General features: G+C 38.9%; 1 long non-coding RNA gene across 1 annotated transcript; it reads right to left on the minus strand.

Moving 5' to 3' along the window:
- Positions 1-1244: 1244 nt before the first annotated feature.
- LINC01796 (long intergenic non-protein coding RNA 1796) lies at positions 1245-23628 on the minus strand. Its single transcript, NR_135562.1, has 4 exons — positions 23539-23628; positions 22479-22683; positions 19169-19340; positions 1245-1486 (listed from the first exon to the last, which is right to left on the minus strand). It is a non-coding gene; the product is annotated as a long intergenic non-protein coding RNA 1796 (long non-coding RNA).
- Between the last annotated feature and the right edge of the window lie 923 nt (positions 23629-24551).

Raw genomic sequence — 24551 nt, forward strand, 5'->3', positions numbered from 1 at the left:
GTCCAAGTCCTGGGATCCACGTGGAGAAGAGGTCCAGAAAGAAGACCTTTGAAGTTGGCACCTTTCAGCTGTTGGTACATTTTATAAATTTTTCATCCCTTGTCTTCTTCAGGAGCCAAGATTTGTCAAAGCTTCCAACCACTCTTCTCTCCTTCCCCTGTCCCTTCTGACAACATCAGTCCACACAATTATCCACAATTAATAACACCTCATTTCTGTCGCTCTTGGGGGCCATGAGTTTCCTAACTGTGGAGGTTCCTAACCCTATGCAGCTCATGGGGGCTTGAGTTTACTTCTATCTCAGCGTAACTGTGAAACTAGCCAAGTCCTGACACCTCAGCAGCACTTTACCTCTAAAAAGACAGCAAATTAGGACATTAGTAAGACTGTTTTTTGACCTAAAATTCTGCGGTTCTTCCAATGTAAAAAAATAAAAATAAAGTAAATTACAATAAGTGAAGACTTGACATGTCATTTCTGGAAAGTTGCTGACCTCTAGTGTTGGCACAGACCTGAAGGAAAATTCAAACCTCTGTGTTATTTCTATCCAACTTTCCTGTATACTTCCTTTCCTTTTCTCTTATGGAGGAGAAGAAAATAGAAAGTACTTCAAATTAAAGTTCTATTAACTAAAGCTTCATTTACAGAATAAATATTTCTGCTGACATTTGACTGATTATATCAATTTTGAAGTTCAAATTTTAATAAGGTATTACCAAGCCCAAGAATAAACAAGCAAATCAGGCGCAGTTTCCTAGTCCCTTCTTTGTATTAAATGATAAGTGAACTTAAAGCTATGCTTTGTCTTATTAATGTCTGCTAAATATGGATGAATTACTGAATATATATTTATTCTTAAACTCATTTGGAGGCAAATATTTACAAGGCTTTTCTCTTATAATCTGATTTTAATATCTCAACTGAAACTGATTTATAACATGTGACTTCAAATGTGGTATTAGTTAAAGGGGCCAAGAATTAATGAGCTGATTCTATCAAGGGTTTCTTGAAACTGATTTTGAAAGGGGGAAAATATTTCTATATTTTTAATCAAATTTTAATGGTAGAAATTTTCATGGCAAATATCAGAGTCTCACATAAACAAATCTTTAATAATTTTGCATGTGCATATATTTGGTTTTATCATATTGTTAACTGAGTTAGAAACTCACTTGAATATTCTGTGCCATCAAGCGGATTTCATTTCTAGCTTGCAGGTGGATTTCTTCATTTCTTCCGGAATTAGTTACTAAGGAAGTTGGTAAGATATGTTTCCTGGAAATCTTTAAAACTTGCTGTGTATGAGACACAAGGTAGGGTGGGTTGGTGAAGGCCGACTGTCCATTTCTGCTATCAGCTAAAGACCATCATTCCACCCATTTTGTACTTGCATAGGCAGCTTCCTGCTAAGAGTCACTGGAGAGTACACAAACCTCTTCCTGTAACTGGGTTACAGTCACATTGTAGAAATGGCTAAATAATTTAACTGTAATGTAGCAAGATATGTGATAATTAGTAAGCTTTATACACTCAAAAAGTGCTCGCTCTGTGACAGTGAACAAATCCCAGGCACACTTATAATAAGTATCCACCTCCCAGAGCTTTGTGTGAATTGCTTGTGAAGTGTGTCTCATGTAACATAAAAGTAAACAAATGTAAACATATACTTAAAAAAGATATAAGGATTATTTAAAGACCAGCACACCAATTTTGGAAGAGAAGTCTTTTAGGTACTAGGCTCATTTTCTTTTTTTTTTTTTTAACTCAAGCATTTGGACAACTTTTAATTTTTTAATAAGTTGTTTAATTAAAATAATCAATTTGGTTATACTGGGTAGACAAAATTTAAATAAATGCTTCAAGTTGATGTAATAAGAAACCCACTTCAATGTATCTGTTTTATTTCTTTTCTTTTTTTCTTTTCTTTTCTTTTATTATTATTATACTTTAAATTTTAGGGTACATGTGGACAATGTGCAGGTTAGTTACATATGTATACATGTGACATGCTGGTGTGCTGCACCCATTAACTTGTCATTTAGCATTAGGTATATCTCCTAATGCTATCCCTCCCCACTCCCCCCACCCCACAACAGTCCCCAGAGTGTGATGTTCCCCTTCCTGTGTCCATGTGTTCTCATTGTTCAATTCCCATCTATGAGTGAGAACATGCAGTGTTTGGTTTTCTGTCCCTGCGATAGTTTACTGAGAATGATGATTTCCAATTTCATCCATGTCCCTACAAAGGACATGAACTCATCATTTTTTATGGCTGCATAGTATTCCATGGTGTATATGTGCCACATTTTCTTAATCCAGTCTATCATTGTTGGACATTTGGGTTGGTTCCAAGTCTTTGCTATTGTGAATAATGCCGCAATAAACATACGTGTGCATGTGTCTTTATAGCAGCATGATTTATAATCCTTTGGGTATATACCCAGTAATAGGATGGCTGGGTCAAATGGTATTTCTAGTTCTAGATCCCTGAGGAATCGCCACACTGACTTCCACAATGGATGAACTAGTTTACAGTCCCACCAACAGTGTAAAAGTGTTCCTATTTCTCCACATCCTCTCCAGCACCTGTTGTTTCCTGACTTTTTAATGATCACCATTCTAACTGGTGTGAGATGGTATCTCATTGTGGTTTTGATTTGCATTTCTCTGATGGCCAGTGATGATGAGCATTTTTTCATGTCTCTTTTGGCTGCATAAATGTATTCTTTTGAGAAGTGTCTGTTCATGTCCTTTGCCCACTTTTTGATGGGGTTGTTTGTTTTTTTCTTGTAAATTTGTTTGAGTTCATTGTAGATTCTGGATATTAGCCCTTTGTCAGATGAGTAGGTTACGAAAATTTTCTCCCATTCTGTAGGTGGCCTGTTCACTCTGATGGTAGTTTCTTTTGCTCTGCAGAAGCTCTTTAGTTTGATTAGATCCCATTTGTCAATTTTGGCTTTTGTTGCCATTGCTTTTGGTGTTTTAGACATGAAGTCCTTGTCCATGCCTATGTCCTGAATGGTAATGCCTAGGTTTTCTTCTAGGGTTTTTATGGTTTTAGGTCTAACATGGAAGTCTTTAATCCATCTTGAATTAATTTTTGTATAAGGTGTAAGGAAGGGATCCAGTTTCAGCTTTCTACATATGGCTAGCCAGTTTTCCCAGCACCATTTATTAAATAGGGAATCCTTTCCCCATTGCTTGTTTTTCTCAGGTTTGTCAAAGATCAGATAGTTGTAGATATGCGGTGTTATTTCTGAGGGCTCTGTTCTGTTCCATTGATCTATATCTCTGTTTTGGTACCAGTACCATGCTGTTTTGTTGACTATAGCCTTGTAGTATAGTTTGAAGTCAGGTAGCGTGATGCCTATGACTTTGTTCTTTTGGCTTAGGATTGACTTGGCGATGCAGGCTCTTTTTTGGTTCCATATGAACTTTAAAGTAGTTTTTTCCGATTCTGTGAAGAAAGTCATTGCTAGCTTGATGAGGATGGCATTGAATCTATAAATTACCTTGGGCAGTATGGCCATTTTCACCATATTGATTCTTCCTAGCCATGAGCATGGAATGTTCTTCCATTTGTTTGTATCCTCTTTTATTTCATTGAGCAGTGGTTTGTAGTTCTCCTTGAAGAGGTCCTTCATGTCCCTTGTAAGTTGGATTCCTAGGTATTTTATTCTCTTTGAAACAATTGTGAATGGGATTTCACTCATGATTTGGCTCTCTGTTTGTCTGTTATTGGTGTATAAGAATGCTTGTGATTTTTGTACATTGATTTTGTATCCTGAGACTTTACTGAAGTTGCTTATCAGCTTAAGGAGATTTTGGGCTGAGACGATGGGGTTTTCTAGATATACAATCATGTCATCTGCAAACAGGGACAATTTGACTTCCTCTTTTCCTAATTGAATACCCTTTATTTCCTTCTCCTGCCTAATTGCCCTGGCCAGAACTTCCAACACTATGTTGAATAGGAGTGGTGAGAGAGGGCATCCCTGTCTTGTGCCAGTTTTCAAAGGGAATGCTTCCAGTTTTTGCCCATTCAGTATGATATTGGCTGTGGGTTTGTCATAGATAGCTCTTATTATTTTGAGATACGTCCCATCAATACCTAATTTATTGAGAGTTTTTAGCATGAAGGGTTATTGAATTTTGTCAAAGGCCTTTTCTGCATCTATTGAGATAATCATGTGGTTTTTGTCTTTAGTTCTGTTTATATGCTGGATTACATTTATTGATTTGCATATATTGAACCAGCCTTGCATCCCAGGGATGAAGCCCACTTGATCATGGTGTATATAAGCTTTTTGATGTGCTGCTGGATTTGGTTTGCCAGTATTTTATTGAGGATTTTTGCATCAATGTTCATCAAGGATATTGGTCTAAAATTCTCTTTTTTGGCTGTGTCTCTGCCCGGCTTTGGTATCAGGATGATGCTGGCCTCATAAAATGAGTTAGGGAGGATTCCCTCTTTTTCTATTGATTGGAATAATTTAAGAAGGAATGGTAACAGCTCCTCCTTGTACCTCTGGTAGAATTCGGCTGTGGATCCATCTGGTCCTGGACTCTTTTTGGTTGGTAAGCTATTGATTATTGCCACAATTTCAGAGCCTGTTATTGGTCTATTCAGGGATTCAACTTCTTCCTGGTTTAGTCTTTGGAGGGTGTGTGTGTCGAGGAATTTATCCAGTTCTTCTAGATTTTCTAGTTTATTTGCGTAGAGGTGTTTGTAGTATTCTCTGATGGTAGTTTGTATTTCTGTGGGATCAGTGGTGATATCCCCTTTATCATTTTTTATTACATCTATTTGATTCTTCTCTCTTTTCTTCTTTATTAGTCTTGCTAGTGGTCTATCAATTTTGTTGATCCTTTCAAGAAACCAGCTCCTGGATTCATTAATTTTTTGAAGGGTTTTTTGTGTCTCTATTTCCTTCAGTTCTGCTCTTATTTTAGTTATTTCTTGCCTTCTGCTAGCTTTTGAATGTGTTTGCTCTTGCTTTTCTACTTCTTTTAATTGTGATGCTAGGGTGTCAATTTTGCATCTTTTCTGCTTTCTCTTGTGGGCATTTAGTGCTATAAATTTCCCTCTACTCACTGCTTTGAATGTGTCCCAGAGATTCTGGTATGTTGTGTCTTTGTTCTCGTTGGTTTCAAAGAACATCTTTATTTCTGCCTTCATTTTGTTATGCACCCAGTAGTCATTCAGGAGCAGGTTATTCAGTTTCCATGTAGTTGAGCGGTTTTGAGTGAGTTTCTTAATCCTGAGTTCTGGTTTGATAGCACTGTGGTCTGAGAGACAGTTTGTTATAATTTCTGTTCTTTTACATTTGCTGAGGAGAGCTTTACTTCCAACTACGTGGTCAATTTTGGAATAGGTGTGGTGTGGTGCTGAAAAAAATGTATATTCAGTTGATTTCGGGTGGAGAGTTCTGTAGATGTCTATTAGGTCCGCATGGTGCAGAGTTGAGTTCAATTCCTGGGTATCCTTGTTAACTTTCTGTCTCGATGATCTGTCTAATGTTGACAGTGGGGTGTTAAAGTCTCCCATTCTTATTGTGTGGGAGTCTAAGTCTCTTTGTAGGTCACTCAGGACTTGCTTTATGAATCTGGGTGCTCCTGTATTGGGTGCATATATATTTAGGATAGTTAGTTCTTCTTGTTGAATTGATCCCCTTACCATTATGTAATGGCCTTCTTTGTCTCTTTTGATCTTTGTTGGCTTGAAGTCTGTTTTATCAGAGACTAGGATTGCAACCCCTGCCTTTTTTTGTTTTCCATTTGCTTGGTAGATCTTCCTCCATCCTTTTATTTTGAGCCTATGTGTGTCTCTGCACGTGAGATGGGTTTCCTGAATACAGCACACGGATGGGTCTTGACTCTTTATCCAATTTGCCAGTCTGTGTCTTTTAATTGGAGCATTTAGTCCATTTACATTTAAAGTTAATATGGTTATGTGTGAATTTCATCCTGTCATTATGATGTTAGCTGGTTATTTTGCTCGTTAGTTGATGCAGTTTCTTCCTAGCCTCGATGGTCTTTACATTTTGGCATGGTTTTGCAGTGACTGGTACCGGTTGTTCCTTTCCATGTTTAGTGCTTCCTTCAGGAGCTCTTTTAGGGCAGGCCTGGTGGTGACAAAATCTCTCAGCATTTGCTTGTCCGTAAAGTATTTTATTTCTCCTTCACTTATGAAGCTTAGTTTGGCTGGATATGAAATTCTGGGTTGAAAATTCTTTTCTTTAAGAATGTTGAATATTGGCCCCCACTCTCTTCTGGCTTGTAGAGTTTCTGCCAAGAGATCTGCTGTTAGTCTGATGGGCTTCCCTTTGTGGGTAACCGACCTTTCTCTCTGGCTGCCCTTAACATATTTTCCTTCATTTCAACTTTGGTGAATCTGACAATTATGTGTCTTGGAGTTGCTCGTCTCGAGGAGTATCTTTGTGGCGTTCTCTGTATTTCCTGAATCTGAATGTTGGTCTGCCTTGCTAGATTGGGGAAGTTCTCCTGGATAATATCCTGCAGAGTGTTTTCCAATTTGGTTCCATTCTCCCTGTCACTTTCAGGTACACCAATCAGATGTAGATTTGGTCTTTTCACATAGTCCCATATTTCTTGGAGGCTTTGTTCGTTTCTTTTTATTCTTTTTTCTCTAAACTTCCCTTCTCGCTTCATTTCATTCATTTCATCTTCCATCACTGATACCCTTTCTTCCAGTTGATCACATCGGCTCCTGAGGCTTCTGCATTCTTCACATAGTTCTCGAGCCTTGGCTTTCAGCTCCATCAGCTCCTTTAAGCACTTCTCTGTATTGGTTATTCTAGTTATACATTCATCCAAATTTTTTTCAAAGTTTTTAACTTCTTTGCCTTTGGTTTGAATTTCCTTCTGTAGCTTGGAGTAGTTTATCGTCTGAAGCCTTCTTCTCTCAACTCGTCAAAGTCATTCTCCATCTAGCTTTTTTCTGTTGCTGGTGAGGAACTGCATTCCTTTGGAGGAGGAGAGGCGCTCAGCTTTTTAGAGTTTCCAGTTTTTCTGCTCTGTTTTTTCCCCATCTTTGTGGTTTTATCTACTTTTGGTCTTTGATGGTGGTGATGTACAGATGGGTTTTTGGTGTGCATGTCCTTTCTGTTTGTTGGTTTTCCTTCTAGCAGACAGGACCCTCAGCTGCAGGTCTGTTGGAGATTGCTAGAGGTCCACTCCAGACCCTGTTTGCCTGGGTATCAGCAGCAGTGGCTGCAGAACAGCGGATTTTCGTGAACCGCGAATGCTGCTGTCTGATCGTTCCTCTGGAAGTTTTGTCTCAGAGGAGTACCTGGCCGTGTGAGGTGTCAGTCTGCCCCTACTGGGGGGTGCCTCCCCGTTAGGCTGCTCGGGGGTCAGGGGTCAGGGACCCACTTGAGGAGGCAGTCTGCCCATTCTCAGATCTCCAGCTGCATGCTGGGAGAACCACTGCTCTCTTCAAAGCTGTCAGACAGGGACATTTAAGTCTGCAGAGGTTACTGCTGTCTTTTTGTTTATCTGTGCCCTGCCCCCAGAGGTGGAGCCTACACAGGCAGGCAGGCCTCCTTGAGCTGTGGTGGGCTCCACCCAGTTCGAGCTTCCCGGCTGCTTTGTTTACCTAAGCGAGCCTGGGCAATGGCGCGTGCCCCTCCCCCAGCCTCGCTGCCCCCTTGCAGTTTGATCTCAGACTGCTGTGCTAGCAATCAGCGAGACTCCGTGGGCGTAGGACCCTCCAAGCCATGTGTGGGATATAATCTCCTGGTGTGCCGTTTTTTAAGCCCGTCAGAAAAGCGCAGTATTAGGGTGGGAGTGACCCGGTTTTCCAGGTGCCATCTGTCACCCCTTTCTTTGACTAGGAAAGGGAAGTCCCTGACCCCTTGCCCTTCCTGAGTCAGGCAATGCCTCGCCCTGTTTCGGCTCTCGCACGGTGCGCTGCACCCACTGTCCTGTGCCCACTGTCTGTCACTCCCTAGTGAGATGAACCCAGTACCTCAGATGGAAATGCAGAAATCACCCATCTTCTGCATCGCTCACACTGGGAGCTGTAGACCAGAGCTGTTCCTATTTGGCCATCTTGGCTGCCAGCTTCTAGGCTCATTTTCTGATAAAACCCTCTCTTTCACTGTATTAGTCTGGGTTCTCCAGAGAGACAAAATCCATAAGATAGGATGTATTCCCTCTTTCTCAGGGGACTTCAGTGCTTTTTCTTCTTCAGCTGATTGGATGAGGCTCAGCCATATTATGGGGGGTAAACTACTTTACTCAAAGTCTACTGATTTGAATGTTAACCTACATAAAGGCCACACACACACAAACCAACTTCAGAGCCACATCTAGACTGATGTTTTACCAAATAGCTGGGCACCATACCTTAACCAGGTTGCCACTTAAAATTATCCATCACATGCTGTTACACAATTATACCCGGGCTTGATTTAATATCTTATGTACAAATATTTTATTTTTCTCATGTCATTATTTACTTGGTCCAATTTGAGAAAAGTTTAAATGTTTAAATCAAGTTTGTCCAACCCACGACCCATGGGCCGCATGTGGCCCAGGACAGCTTTGAATGCAGCCCAACACAAATTCATAAACTTCCTTAAAACATTATGAGTTGTTTTTTACATTTTTTTTAGTTCATCAGCTATTGTTAGTGTATTTTATGTGTGGTTCCAAACAATTCTTCTTCCAGTGTGGCCCAGGGAAGCCAAGAGATTGGACACCCTTGGTTTAAATGATTTTGTTATGTGAAGAAACCCTTCTGAGGTGTTCTTTGTGACTCTGGTCTCATCACAACTTCCTTCCCTTTGTCACAGCTTCATTGTGGTCTGTGAGTCCTCTCAGCCTTGTCTGGTTCCCTCCCTCCTCATTCCCCTCTTATGCTTTTTTTTTTCCCTAAGAAATCTCTTGCATGTCTTGTACCATCTTGGTGTCTGCTTTCACAGAACTGAGACAATGCAGTGTTGAGGGCTCATGTTTTGTAGCTGGGGGAGGAACCCAGGATGGATCAGAGTGGTCATGTGATAGGGCCCTACAGAATTCTGGTTTCTAGGCATTCCTAGGGACCAACTCAGCTGCCCAAATGCTTAGACTTCCTAATCTGATAAACTAGCACTCTGATTGACGGAACTTCTTGGAGCCATGGGTTTATGTATTTTTTAAAATGCTTAAAAAAATTTTTGAGGGGAGTTAATTAAGCTATAAACATCTTTTATATATTTAAATGCAAATAGTTAATGAATAAGTACTATGTGTAAAGTATGGTGCAGTTTTAGGAAAGATGAGTAAGTTTTGGTCTCTGCCTTTATTTAGATGAGAACATAGGAAAAACAAACCAGAATGGGGTGGCTGATATAAGAAAATGAAACAGGGAAGTAGGTGGTCTGGAAGAAAAAATGAGACCAATCACAGGCTGCTTCCAAAATAAGAAGGTAAAGAACATGTCATTTGAACTGGATCTCTTAGGATGAGATATTGCAGGAGAGGACAGTGAGACCAGTGTTTGATGGAGAGAAAAGAGTGCATGCCCAGCAAAGCAGGAAGTTCCAAAGACTGATCTGAGAGGACGGTGTTTTAAATGAAGTGAGGAAGAGGGAGTAATGCTGGATAGGGAGACTGCAGCCAGTGGTTGAGTGACCTGATGCCAGGGGAAGAAGTTGGGAATTGATTCTAGGAGAAGAATTTCGAGCAAAAATATGCCTGCATATTTTACATATTGATTACCAATCGAGCAAAAATTTGCCTGCATATTTTACATATTGATTAACAATCTGTGACTTCTAACTGTGGTCCAGGTGTCAATCCCATTCACCCTGTGAATGACATGGACCTTGTAGCATGTTTACTCACATCCTGTCAATTATTCTGTATAGAGCATGATACTAATGACATAATGACATGGCAAGTTTTAGCTCATGTGACTTGATTTATATCCAATTTAGCTTCATTATCTGTGAAATAAACAATAAGACAGGGAAAGAATAGCTACATAATGTATTTGGAGTTTATACAAATATAACTGAATAAAAAATTCTGTTGAAAGATAACATTAAAAAAAGTAGGGAAAGGAATGGGTAGATAGTAAATAGAAAAAAAATCACCCATGGCAAATTGACCTCTAAAAGAAATATTTGACAACTTCCTGAAAACAAACATTTGGCAAATGTGCCCAAGAATGTTCTATCCTTAAAATAAATGTACGTTTAAGAAACATCCACTTTGGTCTTAATAAAACAAATGATTTTTTTTTTCATGATGCATTAGCAATCCCTAGTGGGCTCATACATGTGCCAGCCAGTGTAGACATTGTCGGACTGAAGTAAAAACTGAGAAGAGCAAATACAATGTAATTAAAGACAGTCTGTTTTATAAAAATAATAATTCCATAATGACGAAATGTTATGCAAAGGTAAACACAATGCATATTAATTCTATGCAAGTTTTATTAATGTTCTTGAAGAAATTACTTATTAGTTGAATTTTTTTTAATTTTGAAAATATTCCAACTCACAGAAAAGTTGAAAGGATAATACAATGAACATCTTTATGTCCCCCAGCTAGATTCAGATTCACCAACTCTTAGCAAGTGGTCATATCTATTCTCTTTCTCACGCTCTTTCTCCTCTTTTGTCAAACTGTTCATAAGTAGCTCACAGATATGATGACATATCACCCTACTGTTACCAGAATTAGCCTGTGTAACCACTTCACCATGTCTACACTCAGGGAAGTCTCTGATGTAAAAATGAGATCTAACACACAATCCATACTCAAATTTCTCAGTTGTTCTCAAATATCTTTTTTGAAACCACTTATTGAGGTCTAATTGACATACAAAAAATGCATACATATTTAACATATACAACCTGGTGAGTTTGGAGATAGGCACACATCTGTGAAACGATCACCACTATCTCTACCAAAAACATATTATCGCTTCCACAAGATCCTTCCTGGCCTTTTTATGTATTATTATTGATACGATTTGGTGATCAGAACACTTAACATCAGATCCACCTTCTCAGTAAACTTTTTTGTTTCTGTAAGTACTATGCTGTAAAGTAGATCTCTAGGACTTATTCATCTTGAATTACTAAAACTTTGTATGCTTTGACCAAAAACACCCCATCCCCTTCTCCCCACTAAACCCTGGCAGCCACCCTCCTACTCTCTGCTACTATGAGTTTGACTATTTTAGATTCCTCACCTAAGTGGGATCATGTGGTATTTGTCCTTTTGTAACTGACTTGTTTCGTTTAGCATAGTGTCCTCCAGGTTTATCCGTGTTGTTGCAAGTGGCAAGATTTCCTCCTTTTTAAAGTCTGATTGAGTGCCTTTATAACTTTTTATTTGAATTGTTTTTTGATTCAGGATCTAATTGAGACTCATTCATTACATTTGACTGCTGAATTTTTGTGCTCTTTCCGAATCTTGAACATATCCCTAAGCCTACTCTGTGCTCTTCAAGATGTGGAAGGCTTTGATACGTCCTGCAGGATGTACCACATTCTGAATGTGACACATTCCTCCTTATTAGATGCAGGACAAACCTTTCTGAGGAAAGCACTACTCCTGTTCTTTTGGGGGGTGCTCTCTTCTCCACATTGGGAGGCACGTGATGCCAGGTTGACTCCTGACTGGCGCGATGCTCACCCAGTTCGTCGTCTTTCTTGTCCAGAGGGTGATTGACAGATCTCTCCATTGTAAAGATGCATTACCTCCTTTCTAATTAATAGCTAATCTGAGGAGTGGTATTAATGTACATGCTAATTCTTAGTTTTTAAAGCTCTGAGTCAGTTTTGGGGAGTTGGGTATTGTTGGAAGTTCTTCTAGTAAAAGTTCAACGTGACTTTACTGATTGCAGAAGTGTGCTTCTCCATATGCAGTGAAAGACAGTCAAGTTAGGGCTGGAAGGGACCCAAGTGATAATCTGGTTCAATTTCATTTTTTATTTATAGAAAATGAGGTCAAGCCATCTCAGTGAAATAGTAAGAACCATACTCCAGATCCCCCGATTCCAGTCCAATTTTCTTTCTATTATTTTTGAGGTGCATTTATTTAGTCCTTCAAGAACCAGAGCAAAATCTTGGACAATCAAAAGAAGACAGAAGGGCATCATGGACAAGGATAGATTATGCTATTCTTGGGGATGTGTATTCGGGATAATAACAGCAGAAGGTGACGGCTCTATAATATATAAAATATCATGTGAGCCACAGATTTGGGCCACACATGCAATTTAAAATTTTCAAGTAACCATTTAAAAAAATGAAAATAAAGAGATGTAACTAACTGCAATAATATGTGTTATTTAATCAATATCCCAAATATGATCATTTCAACAAGTAATCAATATTTTAAAAATTATATATAGGCTGGGAGTGGTGGCTCCTGCCTGTAATCTCAGCACTTTGGGAGGCTGAGGTGGGCAGATCATTTGAGGTCAGGAGTTTGAGACCAGCCTGGCCAACATAGCAAAACCCCATCTCTACTACAAATACAAAAAAAAATTAGCCTGGCGTGGTGGTGTGTGCCTGTAATCCCAGCTGCTTGGGAGGCTGAGGCATGAGAATCACTTGAACCCAGGAGGCAGAGATTGCAGTGAGCTGAGATTATGCCACTGGACTCCAGCCTGTGTGACACAGCAAAACTCTGTCTCTCTCTCTCTCTGTCTCTGTCTCTCTCTCTCTATCTATAGATGTGTGTGTGTGTGTGTGTGTATGTATATATATACACATATATATATAATGAAATTTTATATTCCTTTTTTTGAATCAGTATGTACCCTCTACTTTTTAGCACATCTCAATTCAGAGTAGCCACCTTTCAAGGGAGCAAAATAACCTCATTCAACCAGTGACAATGTTGTTGAATGATGCTGCTCTAGAAGAATGAGGAAATGTCAAATAGAGGTTCCTACTAAAGGGGCAATGAAAGCAATTGCCTGACACCCAAAATAGGACCTAATAGATATTAGCAGTTAGTGGTAATATTTGGAATGATAATTTTATTTTCTCTACCTAGGCCTTTAGGACTTTGGATTCCTTGAAGGTATTCAAATATTAACTAATAACTTTCAACATTTCACAAGTCTATTTAGTAATGTTATACATTTATAAAAAAATACACTGTGAGACTAACATCAATGGCAGTCATATCACTGCATAAGTCAAACTAACACTTAGGATCTGAGATGGGGTATGTGGAACGTGAGGTCACCTAGGGTGAGAAGGGGTTGAAGGTGCTATGATCACTACTTTGAATTTCTTATAATTTTGTCTTTGAATTTGTGTTTTGTAAATAAAATCAGGTGGGACTCAAGTGTGTGCTGGTGACTGCCTCTTGCTGCCTTCAGCCTCCTGCTCCCCAGAATGAGTTCTAGGCTGCTGACTTCTCACTTCATCCACAGGTCTGGATATGGCATGGGGAGGGGCAAGAGCAGGTGCATGAACCTCACACAGAGTCGTCCACACTCACCTGGCAATTACCACTGTGCCCGCAATACCACATTAAATAACAATTTAAAAATACCATGATAGCTCAGAAGAAAGGTACAAGAAAAAAAAAAAGCTTTTTTTTTTTTCCTGCTGTTTGAAACAAGGCTTCATGTTGTCATTTTACCCTAGGCCCTAGAAAGTATGTAGCTGACCTTGTGCTCAGTGTTGGAGAAGCTGCTTTCATCTGATTCCCATTGCTATTAACTGTTTTGTAGCAATTTCAATTGCTGCCATTTTAAAAAACAAAAATCAGGGAAATAATTATTTCCTCATAAAGGCAGTTTGGTAGACAAACTTTTTGAAAGAATGTGGGGCATGGATAATCATTAAATTGGACTTTTATGTAGAAAATATTGGGAACACCTGATCTGGAAGCAGAATGTGTTAGGAAACAACTAAGTCAGGCAACTCAACAAAAAGCCAAGTCATTGCATGGGTGTTAGGGGAAGAAGGCTAACTTTTGCGGGTTTGTTTTATATGAAATAATCAGTTAACTTACTGAATTTTTCACTATTGTGGACTTTCGGTGGGATTTTGTAAATATAGTGTAATTAAATAAAAAGTTTTATTTAATAATATTTGGCACTTTATATATGCAGGGATTTAGTAGGCAAGGTTATGGGCCAGATTGTAAAATTATGATCAGTAAGAAGAAAACTAAAACCAGAATAATGATATGCTATTAATAAATATGCTCTATTGACCCAAGAGGGCTAGAGCTGCATTTCAAAGTCTTTGTAAGAAAAGTGACAAAACTCTGATGCGAACAGTTTCAGGAAGCCTGACCGGGGTGCTGTTGTGGACGTTGTGCAGTGTCTCAGCAGTCCTAGCAGTGTGCTAGCACAGCTGGAGCAAGCATAGCTCTGTTCCTGCCTGTGTGTGGGCTCACCTTAGGAGGGGGTTTCTTTCTTGCTATCCCTTAGGTTTTGTTTCACTTTTAAGTTTATATTATCCACAAAGAGTATAAACAGAAATGTACTGAGAATTTAGATCATTTTCCCAGTACATAAGGACCTGTTTCTCTCCTGCTAACATTAACCCTACTTGAGACTTAGAGAAAGAGGCATCACACTTAGAAAGTCTCCTGTGGGTATAATGTCTACTCTTTGTTTCATGAAAGGATATCCTGGGGTGGTTAGCTTTTTGGTTTTCTTTCTCTCTTTCTCTCTTTCTTTCTTTCTTTCTTTCTTTCTTTTCTTTCTTTCTTTCCTTCTTTCCTTCCTTTCTTCTTTCTTTCCTTTCTTTCTTTCTTTCTTTCTTTCTCTTTTTCTTTCTTTCTTTCTCTCTCCTTTCTTTCCTTTCTCCCTTCCCTCCCCTCCCCTCCCCTCCCTTCCCCTCCCCTCCCTCCCTTCCCTTCCCTTCCCCTCCCTTCCTTCTCCCCTCCCCTCCCTTCCCCTCCCCTCCTCCCTCCCTTCTTCTCTGCCTCCCTCCCTCCCCCCTCCCCTCCCTCCCCCCTCCCCTCAGTCCCTCCCTCCCTCCCTCCCTCCCTTCCTTCCTTTCTTCCTTCCTTCTTTTTTGTGGATGGAGTTCTGCTCTGTCACCCTGGCTGGAGCGCAGTGGCACGATCTCAGCTCACTGCAACCTCCGCCTCCAGGGTTCAAGCAATTCTCCTGCCTCAGCCTCTTGAGTAGCTGATATTACAGGTGCTCACCTGTACCTAGCTAATTTTTGTATTTGTAGTAGAGACTGTGTTTCACCATGTTGATCAGGCTGGTCTCAAACTTCTGACTACAAGTAATCTGTCCACCTCGGCCTCCCAAAGTGCTGGGATTACAGACATGAGCCATCATGCCTGGCCTTACCACTCTATTTCCATCTTATATTTTTCCTTACTTCTCCTCCAGCTTTTTTTTTTAATGGTGACCAACTAAATGCCTATCAATTTATCAGAACTGTTTTAGACTTATGATTAATATCACCATTCAGGGCATTAATTCCAAGCTCTCAGAAACCTAAGACCCTGGATTGCCATTTGCTTCCTTAGCCTTCATGCCTGCTTTGCTTGAAGCAGTGTATATTCTTTTGTTCTTTGGTGACATCTATTTTCACATCATAATCCATATTACATACACTCCTTGGGAATGAATATGAGTAGTTAAATTAAACTGGTCATGAAAACAGGGAAATAATTATTTCCTAATAAAGGCAGAAGAATGCCAGTAACCTCTGGAGATAGCTTGAGGACACTTTGCTATCAGTCATAACCTTCATCTTCCCTGGTCTCTAGCCATCTTCTTAAACACCTATATCTATTTGAAATTCTTCAAAAAGCAAATTAGAAATTAAAGACCAGTTCTTATTTAGGCCGTTGAAAAAGATCAAGTGACAACTGGCTGATCTTGGGGACTTGACTGAGACCTTTCTAGTTGTGGGCTGTGAATGCCCGGCCATCAGGTCTTAGCAAGTTCCATCACCACGCACAGAGTGTGGCAGATCACGTCTTCCAGGATTTCTGATAGACACAATCCATTTTTAATGCCTTGTGTCAGGCATCCCTGCTGTCCTCTAACCATTCTTAATAATAAGACAAAAGTGATATTTTAGGGTAACAGTTAATAAATAATGTGACTTATCCAATCACACCTTTCACTAAAATATTATTATCTTTTGGCAGATTCATTACTGTAGAGGCATCAGGATCTGATGAAACATTCTCTAATTCTACCACTAGTACATTTTCCAGAGTTGTCTTTCTTTTAATTTAATTCTCCCACTCTGAAAGCATACTGTCCATTGCAATTACTGAATGAGCATTTAATCTCCCATAACTAAGGCATTTTAATCTTTTCTTATGGAAAGACGATTAAAAGGTCCTAATATTGCTATGATATGGATACATTTCATCCCGACCGAGTGAATCAAAATTTCCTTTGTTCTTATTACTACAAGTTAAGACAAACCAACTGTCTAGGCACTTCACTGCAATAGTTAAGCTACCTTTAGCACAAGGTGTGATAAATGTTTCAAAACGTAGTCTATTGATTGAATAGAAAGGTTTTCAGAACTTCCTTGGGCAGAGGTGAGCCTAGAGGTAGAGAATCGCAAGATAAGTTTTTATAGTTGTTATGGTAGCTTGGTTTACAGTCTGTTATGTTTGTCCCAAAGCAATAAATCTTTCTACTTTTAAAATGCTGTGTGGCTAACAGAGATATTGAATCACTTTGAAACCACAAGGGTTGATTTTGTTATATTATAGCATCGCTATCTTGATCATTAATTTTTTTTAATTTAAAATCTTAGTACTACACTAGTATAAAACAAAAGTTGGTGAAGTTTTAAACTTTTTAAACTTTTTAAAAATCAGTACATTTTCCCGATTTTTACCTTCACGTAACTGTTCTATTTCCCTGGAGCACAGAATGTCACGTTTAAATAATTGCATATCCTGAGTGTTTACAATGTGCATACACCTTAGTCTATTATCAACTCCAGTAAAAACACATAAATATAATCTGCAATGTGATGTTTACCTAAGAAGATAATTTCTTCATGACTATTTTGCCTGGCCTCCAACCATGGGCCCTGGTGTATGTATTTCAGTTGTACTGGTCACTGGTTTATTAGGAAGGACCTCACACTACATTATGCATTTTCATAACACCCTGGGCTTGATTGAGAAGTGTCATATCCTTTCTCTTCAACCTCTATTTCTCAGCCACATTCATTCATAACCTAATTCTCCCCTTCAGAATTGTGGTGATGTAAACCGGGGTCACAGATTAGCAATTTTGCAGCTGGAAAACAAGGCAATTCTGCTTTGTATTTTATTATGTATTTATTCCTCAAGGATCATTTCCTATTTATTGAAATTTGGAAAAACAACAATTCCTTCCAGACTGATAATGATCTGGTAATCAATGTGAAATATATTTGTAAAACAAATACAGATTTACAGATTTCTCCTGTGAAAACATTCAGATGGCTGAAACAGCCATTTTAATAGTTATACTGTATTTGAACTTTTTAAAAGATACCCTTTTAGGAGATAACATGTTTCCTGTGATTCTGCCACATGTGCTACTTTGTTATATTTTATGATGAAGACTCTTTTATACTTAGATAAAAGGTTTATTAAGTAAATGTTTGTGTTAATAGTGTAAACTGGCATAAGAAACTGTTCATGAATATTTCACAAATTTTTAACAATGATGATAGAATCAGAAATTCACAGAAAGAATATCTAAGAACTTTGAGCCATACATAAATTCATAAGAATATAGATTCACTTTGCTTGCATATTGTTTCTTTATTAACCAGGAGCTGCTTTGATTATTTGGGCTGAGGTGTTGATAGCCCAAGGTGTAGTTCTTGATTACATAGGTAAAGAAATATACATTAAGCTGAATAGAAAGCTGATAGTAGTGTAGGCTGAATGCAGTTAATTAGCTGCTTATTCAAATACCCTGTTCATTATTTCTTCCTCTAAGAATGAGACTGTTGTGTGTATATGTGTGTGTGTGTGTGTGTGTGTGTGTGTGTATGTGTGTATGTAGGGCAAAAGTAGGAATGTAATGATATTGGTACCATTTTTTTAAGAGACCTTGGGAAAAGAAGAGGAAAAAAGCTTTATTTAAAAGGATGTAAAGACTTCAACATTCCAAGGGGACTGCAGAGATTGAATTTATTTATCCTATAACATTTCTACATTGATTATTTGAATTTTCTAGTTAAAAATTTCCTAGTTAGTTCTACACTAGTGTAAAAAGGAAAACCATCATAATTTCAACCTGTCATTACAAAGCTCTGGTGGTTTAGAGGAGTTTGCTTCCGTGAAAATGGGGGTAGCCACCCTCTTCCTTAACTCTATAAGATTCTCTTCAAGGTGAAATATTATTAGGGTACAGTTAGTTACCTGAGGTTTGTAATTTGGTCTTTGAGATGTGGCTTCTTGTTTCATGAAATTAATAGCATTAGGAGATATACCTAATGCTAAATGACGAGTTAATGGGTGCAGCACACCAGCATGGCACATGTATACATATGTAACTAACCTGCACATTGTGCACATGTACCCTAAAACGTAAAGTATAATAATAATAAAATAAAAAAAGAAAAATTAAATAAAAAATAAAAGTAAAAAAAAAAGAAAACTAAAGAAAATGACAAGGTAATGAATATCTGATACAGTGCTTTAAAAAAGTCCTTTGAGTGAATATGGCTACAGGGAGGGAAATACAAATCTCATTTTGTTTGCTGAGTCAATCCTCGCAAAAACACATTTCAGTTGCAAAATTTTGCAATAAATAAGATAAAGAGATTCAGCAAAGGTTTAAAAATTTTCTGACTTCCAGTGTATAAAATGAGAATGGTCATGAAATATCCACTTCGTAAAATTACTGTAAAAATTTAAAAAGATAACATACATAAAGTTCTTAGCAGAGTGTTTAACATATACCAATAATTTGAAAGGTAAAAAAATAAAAATGTTAAGAAAAATAAACATTTGGTCACATGTCATCTCCTTCAAACTGGGCTATTGGTTTTCCCTGTAGAGATACATAGCTATTAAAAAAAAACAAAAACAAAGAAACCAATAAAACAAAACCCAGCCCCAAAACATTTTAGGAATAAATGACCTGTTAAAAATACAGCAAAACCATCCTCTGACCTTGAAACAGAGTTTATGAATTCTGAAAAGGTGAGCAAAAACATAATAATTAACTATATACCTGCCCATCCAAACAGTTATTGTGGAAGTCCTGGTCCATCTGTTTTTATAACAACTTTGCAGGTTTCAACAGGATTTGCTGCATTTAGCAAGTCGTCCAACAGCCTTCAGGGAGAGGGTGATCATGTGTAAGGCCGAAGTCAGCCACAGACAGTATTTCTCCTTCTCATGCTCTGGAATTTGGAGTCATTTTACGGAAAGGAAGTTCAGTTGAGCTAAACGGTTTGCTTCCCTCTGAATTAGAAGTCATAAAGGCCGATGGTGTAAGAACACTTCCTCCAACCCACATTTTTGGCTCAGGGCTCTGTTTGAAGCATTTTGTGGTTAAAGCCATGCCAATACCAAAGCACATAAAGACCGGACCCAACACTATTTTTGCTTGGCTGAATTGCTATGTATTTCTGTGAATGTCTAAAATGTAGAAATAATGAAACTTGCTTTGCCCAATACTGTAATTTTGCTTGTATGGACATTGTCAAATTAGGAAACAATGAAAAGAAATTTCCCCAAACTCCACCCTGTTTAAAAGGCAATTCTCATTATTCCCTTTGTGTTTACCACATCACAATGCACCTTAAACTCCTCATGGAAATACGGAGCTAGACTTTCCCACCAGCTGCCCCATCACAGCTTGTTGACTTTTATTGGACTGATTTAAGACAATGTTTCATAAATCTACATTGGGAAGCCCACTGCAAGAAGTAAGGGAATGAGTATATGGATATAGGGCAATTGGGAATGGATTTGATTTTGAGAACAAGTTTTCTTCCATTGTCTTGTTCAAAAGAAGACTGGGGAGATTTTCCTGATGATGACTTCAGAAGACTTACTGATGCTGCTTTGAGACAGGGTCCTCACATTTTTTCTTTTTAATTTATAAACAAAATATGTGTCTTTTCTATGTATCCAGTCTTTTGTCTTTGATATTAAGTGACTTAGGAAGAGAATCTAACAGTCTTCAGTCAGAATAGGGATATACTAATTTTCAACTATATAGTTGATAAATCTGTATTTTCACTGAAGAATTATTTCCCTTATGGAATACAAATAAGTGGTAGAAAAGTGATTTTGGAATAAAGCATATTAACATAATTAACATATAAAACAGAAAGGGTCATTTTGACTTCAGAAGACTCTTTCTTTCTCTCACACACACACAGACATACACGATAATGAAATCTTCCTAGCAAGTTCAGTTAACATTGGACAACGATAATTAATTTGTAGTTGTAGAATAACCTCTCTTATTTACATAGCTTTTAAATATCAGACACCTGATTTAGAAAACATTAAATGCTGAGGTAAAAATACAAAATCCTTTCTGAATAGAGGACAAGAATTTTTAATTTTATTTAGTGCCCTGACTTGACTAATTTGTCTTCACATTTTTATAATACTAAAACTGCATGCGTGGGGCTCTGTGGCTAGAAATTACTCAGTGTTGTGGAAGTAGATCGTTGGAGTTGCCCCCATTTGCCGAGTTGAGTCTGGGGTCCAGTTGGCCTCCCCGGCTGTCCTGAGGGAGGGCTCTTGGTCTCTTGGCTCTGAACCCCCCTCCCAGGTGCACCTGTTCTGCCGGGTCCTTTTGTCCTCACCAGCAGCCCCACATTTGACTGGGTGATTGCTGGGAGCCAGAAAGAATGTGAGTGGCTGGGCTCCTCTGTCTTCCCTCCCTGACTTTCCCTGGCTTCTCTCGTCTCTTGTTCCCTTAGAAAGGAGAGAAGCCAAAACGCAATTAAAGTGACTTTTTCTGAGTCATTGGCCCATAAGGGGTCTTTATAGGGAGGTTGAAATTCAATCCACTTTTAAGAAAAAGAGTTTTCTTCTCTATACACACACAATCTGGCCAGCTGTAGGTGTTCCTGGGGAGAACAAGCACTCAAAATACTCAGAAAATCGTCTATAAAGGATTGAACAATAACTGCCAGGATTCAGGAGATTTCCTGGGGATTAATGAGTAGCGGGGAGGAACTGGTGGCCTTCAACTGTACTCTGGGCAGTTAACCTCAGCCAGTCAGTCCTTCCTAAGAAACGCTTGCATTGAGGCGGCGATTGCTATTATAGGATATAAACCTAGAAGAACACTTTTAGTGTGATTTTATTTCAATGTGCCCTTTGCTTCTGAAAGACTGCAGCATCGTGTGGAGCATTTGGTGGCTAATAACACAGCATTCGTTACCCTGCGATGCACTTCTCATCACATTAATCAAGCTGATTGGAATAATGTTTAAGAGAAAAATTAATATTTTATTGTTGTAAAAAATCTTGTAGAAAACTTTTAAAATATTAAATACACAGCCAAGATTGTATTGAGATTAGAACAAACCAGGAATGATTTTTATCACAAGTACGATTATAACATTTACCTCAAGAGTGAGGATTTTTTTCTCATGGTGATACGATCACTTCAAAAACCTAAAAAAAAAAAGTATTCGGTCCCTTTCTGGCTAATCCTTATGCTAGCCAAATAGTTTAATAGTTAAAAGCTTCATAACCCAACTTTACTTGTGTTTTAATTACATGAGGAAAATCCAGGAAAAAAGTCATTTTTAATTTGACATGCAAACACTTCTCTACTTCTTATTGTGATTCTCATTCACTGCATCTTTAGAGCAGTGATCCCAACAGATTAAAAACCGGCTTTGTCACTTATGTTATTTGCATCTCAAATGAGGCAAGTTTGAGGTGAATGGTTGGCACCAATGCCAATCGAACGCTCCAGAGCAGGGGTCCGCAACCCCCGGCCACAGATCGGTATTGATTGGTGGCCTGTTAGGAACCGGGCCACACAGTGTGAGGTGAATGGCTGGTGAGCCAGTGAAGCTTCATTTCTATTTAAAGCCACTCCCCATTGCTCACATTACCCCCTGAGTTCCGCCTCCTGTCAGATCAGTGGCGGCATCAGAGTCTCATAGAGGCGTAAACCCTATCGTGAACTGTGCATGCGAAGGATCTAGGTTGTGGGCTCCTTATGAGAATCTAACACCTGATGCTCTGTCACTGTCTCCCATCACCTCCAGATGGGACCATCTAGTTGCAGGAAAATGAGCTCAGGGCTCCCACTGATTCTACATTATCGTGAGTTGTATAATTATTTCATTATATATTATAATGTAATAATAATAGCAATAGATGATAGTACACAATAAGCGTTATGTTCTTGAATCCTCCCCAAACCATCTCCCCGTCTTTTGGTCTGTGGAAAAATATCGTCTTCCACAAAACCAGTCCCTGGTGCCAAAAAAGTTAGAAACTGTTGTTCCAGAGGACTAAGTCTGCTCATGCTTGAATGTCTCCATGTCAGAGCTTACCTTTCAGGATGACTAGTGAACCACCCTACCCACACAGCAGGTCCTGAACCGTCAGCAGAACTACTTCCTTTGCTCCTCACCTATTACTTTGTTTTGAAAGTCTATGAAGTCAGCATTCAGGCTGAGAAATAAGTAGATCAGAGGCATATTCTTTAGTTCTGTTGCCTAATTGAACATAATTTGGAAGTAACTGGTTCTAGAAAACCTAAGAATGACAAACAAAGCATACAGAGTCAGCAAAGAGATATATATTTCCAGATCTCCCTTCCCCTCCTGGTGAGCCTCAGCTACCAGGAACCATCTGGTAGGGTGGAGGAGACAGGCTGGAAGGGCAGGAACTGGGGTGCAGCTTGTGGGAGTGGGTTAGGCTAATCTCTGAGGTCAGACCAGATGGAAGTGGGTGGTCCTACACACATGGGCCTGCAAGTGGACACAGAGCTGGCATCCTGCACCTTGCTTGGATATTCTCTGGGTCTGTTCTGTGGATGGCCTCAGCGTCTGAAGGGGATAGGGATTGAATGTCAAGGACAAGACATTATGTTCCTCTGCCTCTCAGGAAGGCAGCTCCTCCAGCCTCACAGCAAAAAGAGATGCAATGGAGCTTTCCTGGAGAAAAGGCACTGTCTCATTTTCTAACTCCATTACCTGAAACTCATGTGTTAAATGGGAATAGAACAGAGCTAGCAACAGAGATAAATTTTGAAATACATAAAGTTGAACCTAGAAGTCCAAACTCATTCATTCAATAGATAAATATGTAAATAGGAAGAAAATCAGAAAACAAATCATGCTACTAAAAACTTTGGAATGGCTTGAATTAAGATCAGTAGGAATCCAGGCTCAAGTTTTAAACAGATCATGCTACACACTCCTATGCACTGTGTAAGTCCACACTGGTTCAACGATGGTTCCTGATAGCTGAGGCTCACCAGAAGTTACAATTCCAGGAACAGGAAGAAAGGGGAAGTAAGTCGTCATGGTTAAGCACATGGCCCTGGAAGCCAACTCTCACCCACACCCATTAGCCACCTGCTGGGATATGAGCCAACAGGTCACTAACCTCTTTGAGTTGCAATCCCCTGGCTGCCTCTAGTCCTCAGTGCCTCTTCTTCAGTGGAGCTGCAGAACTACAGTCAGGCACTGCATCAGGACAGGTCAATCAAGGAACTGCACATTCAGTGGTGGTCATGCAAAATTATCATGGAGCTGAAAATTTCCTGTTGCCTAGGGACTTCATAGCCATTGGGATGTCACAGTATAATGCATTGCTCACATGATTGTGATGATGCTGGTGTAGGTACCTACTGCACTGCCCTTGTATAAAAGTATAGCTCATGCAATTATGTACAGTACAGAATACTTGATAATGATGGTAAACAACTATGTTACTGGTTTATTTATTAGATTATACTTTTAATTGTTATTTTGGAGTGTTAATAACTTATTAAAGAGAGAAAAAAGAAAAAGTTAACTGTAAAACAGCCTTCAGGAGGATTCCAGAAGGAGACACTGCTATCATAGAGATGATAGCTCCATGCATGTTATTGCCCCTGAAGACCCTCCAGTGGAACAAGATGTGGAGATGGAAGACAGTGACATTGAGGATCCTGACCCTGTGTAGACCTAGGCTCATTGTATGTGGATCTTAATTTTTAACAAAAAAGTGAAAAGGTAAAAAACAAATAGAAACTAGTTTATAGAATAATGATATAAAGAAACAGCTTTTGTACAGATGTACAATGTGTTTGTATTTTAAGCTAAGTGTTATTACAAGAGTCAAAAGTGGAAAATTTTAAAGTTTATAAAGTAAAAAAGTTACAGTAAGTTAACATTAATTTATTATCAAAGAAAGACATTTTAAAATAGATTTAGTGTTGCCTAAGTATCCAGGGTTTATGAAGTCTACAGCGGTGTACACTAATGTCCTAGGGCTTCGCATTCAGTCCTCACTCACTGACTCACCCAGAGCAACTTTCAGTCCTGCAAGCTCCATGCATAGTAAGTGCCCTATACAGGAGGATCATTTGAAAAAAATCTTTTATACCATATTTTTACTATTTTTTCTATGTTTAG

Source organism: Homo sapiens, chromosome 2 (assembly GCF_000001405.40).
Source record: "Homo sapiens chromosome 2, GRCh38.p14 Primary Assembly".
Taxonomy (NCBI): domain Eukaryota; kingdom Metazoa; phylum Chordata; class Mammalia; order Primates; family Hominidae; genus Homo; species Homo sapiens.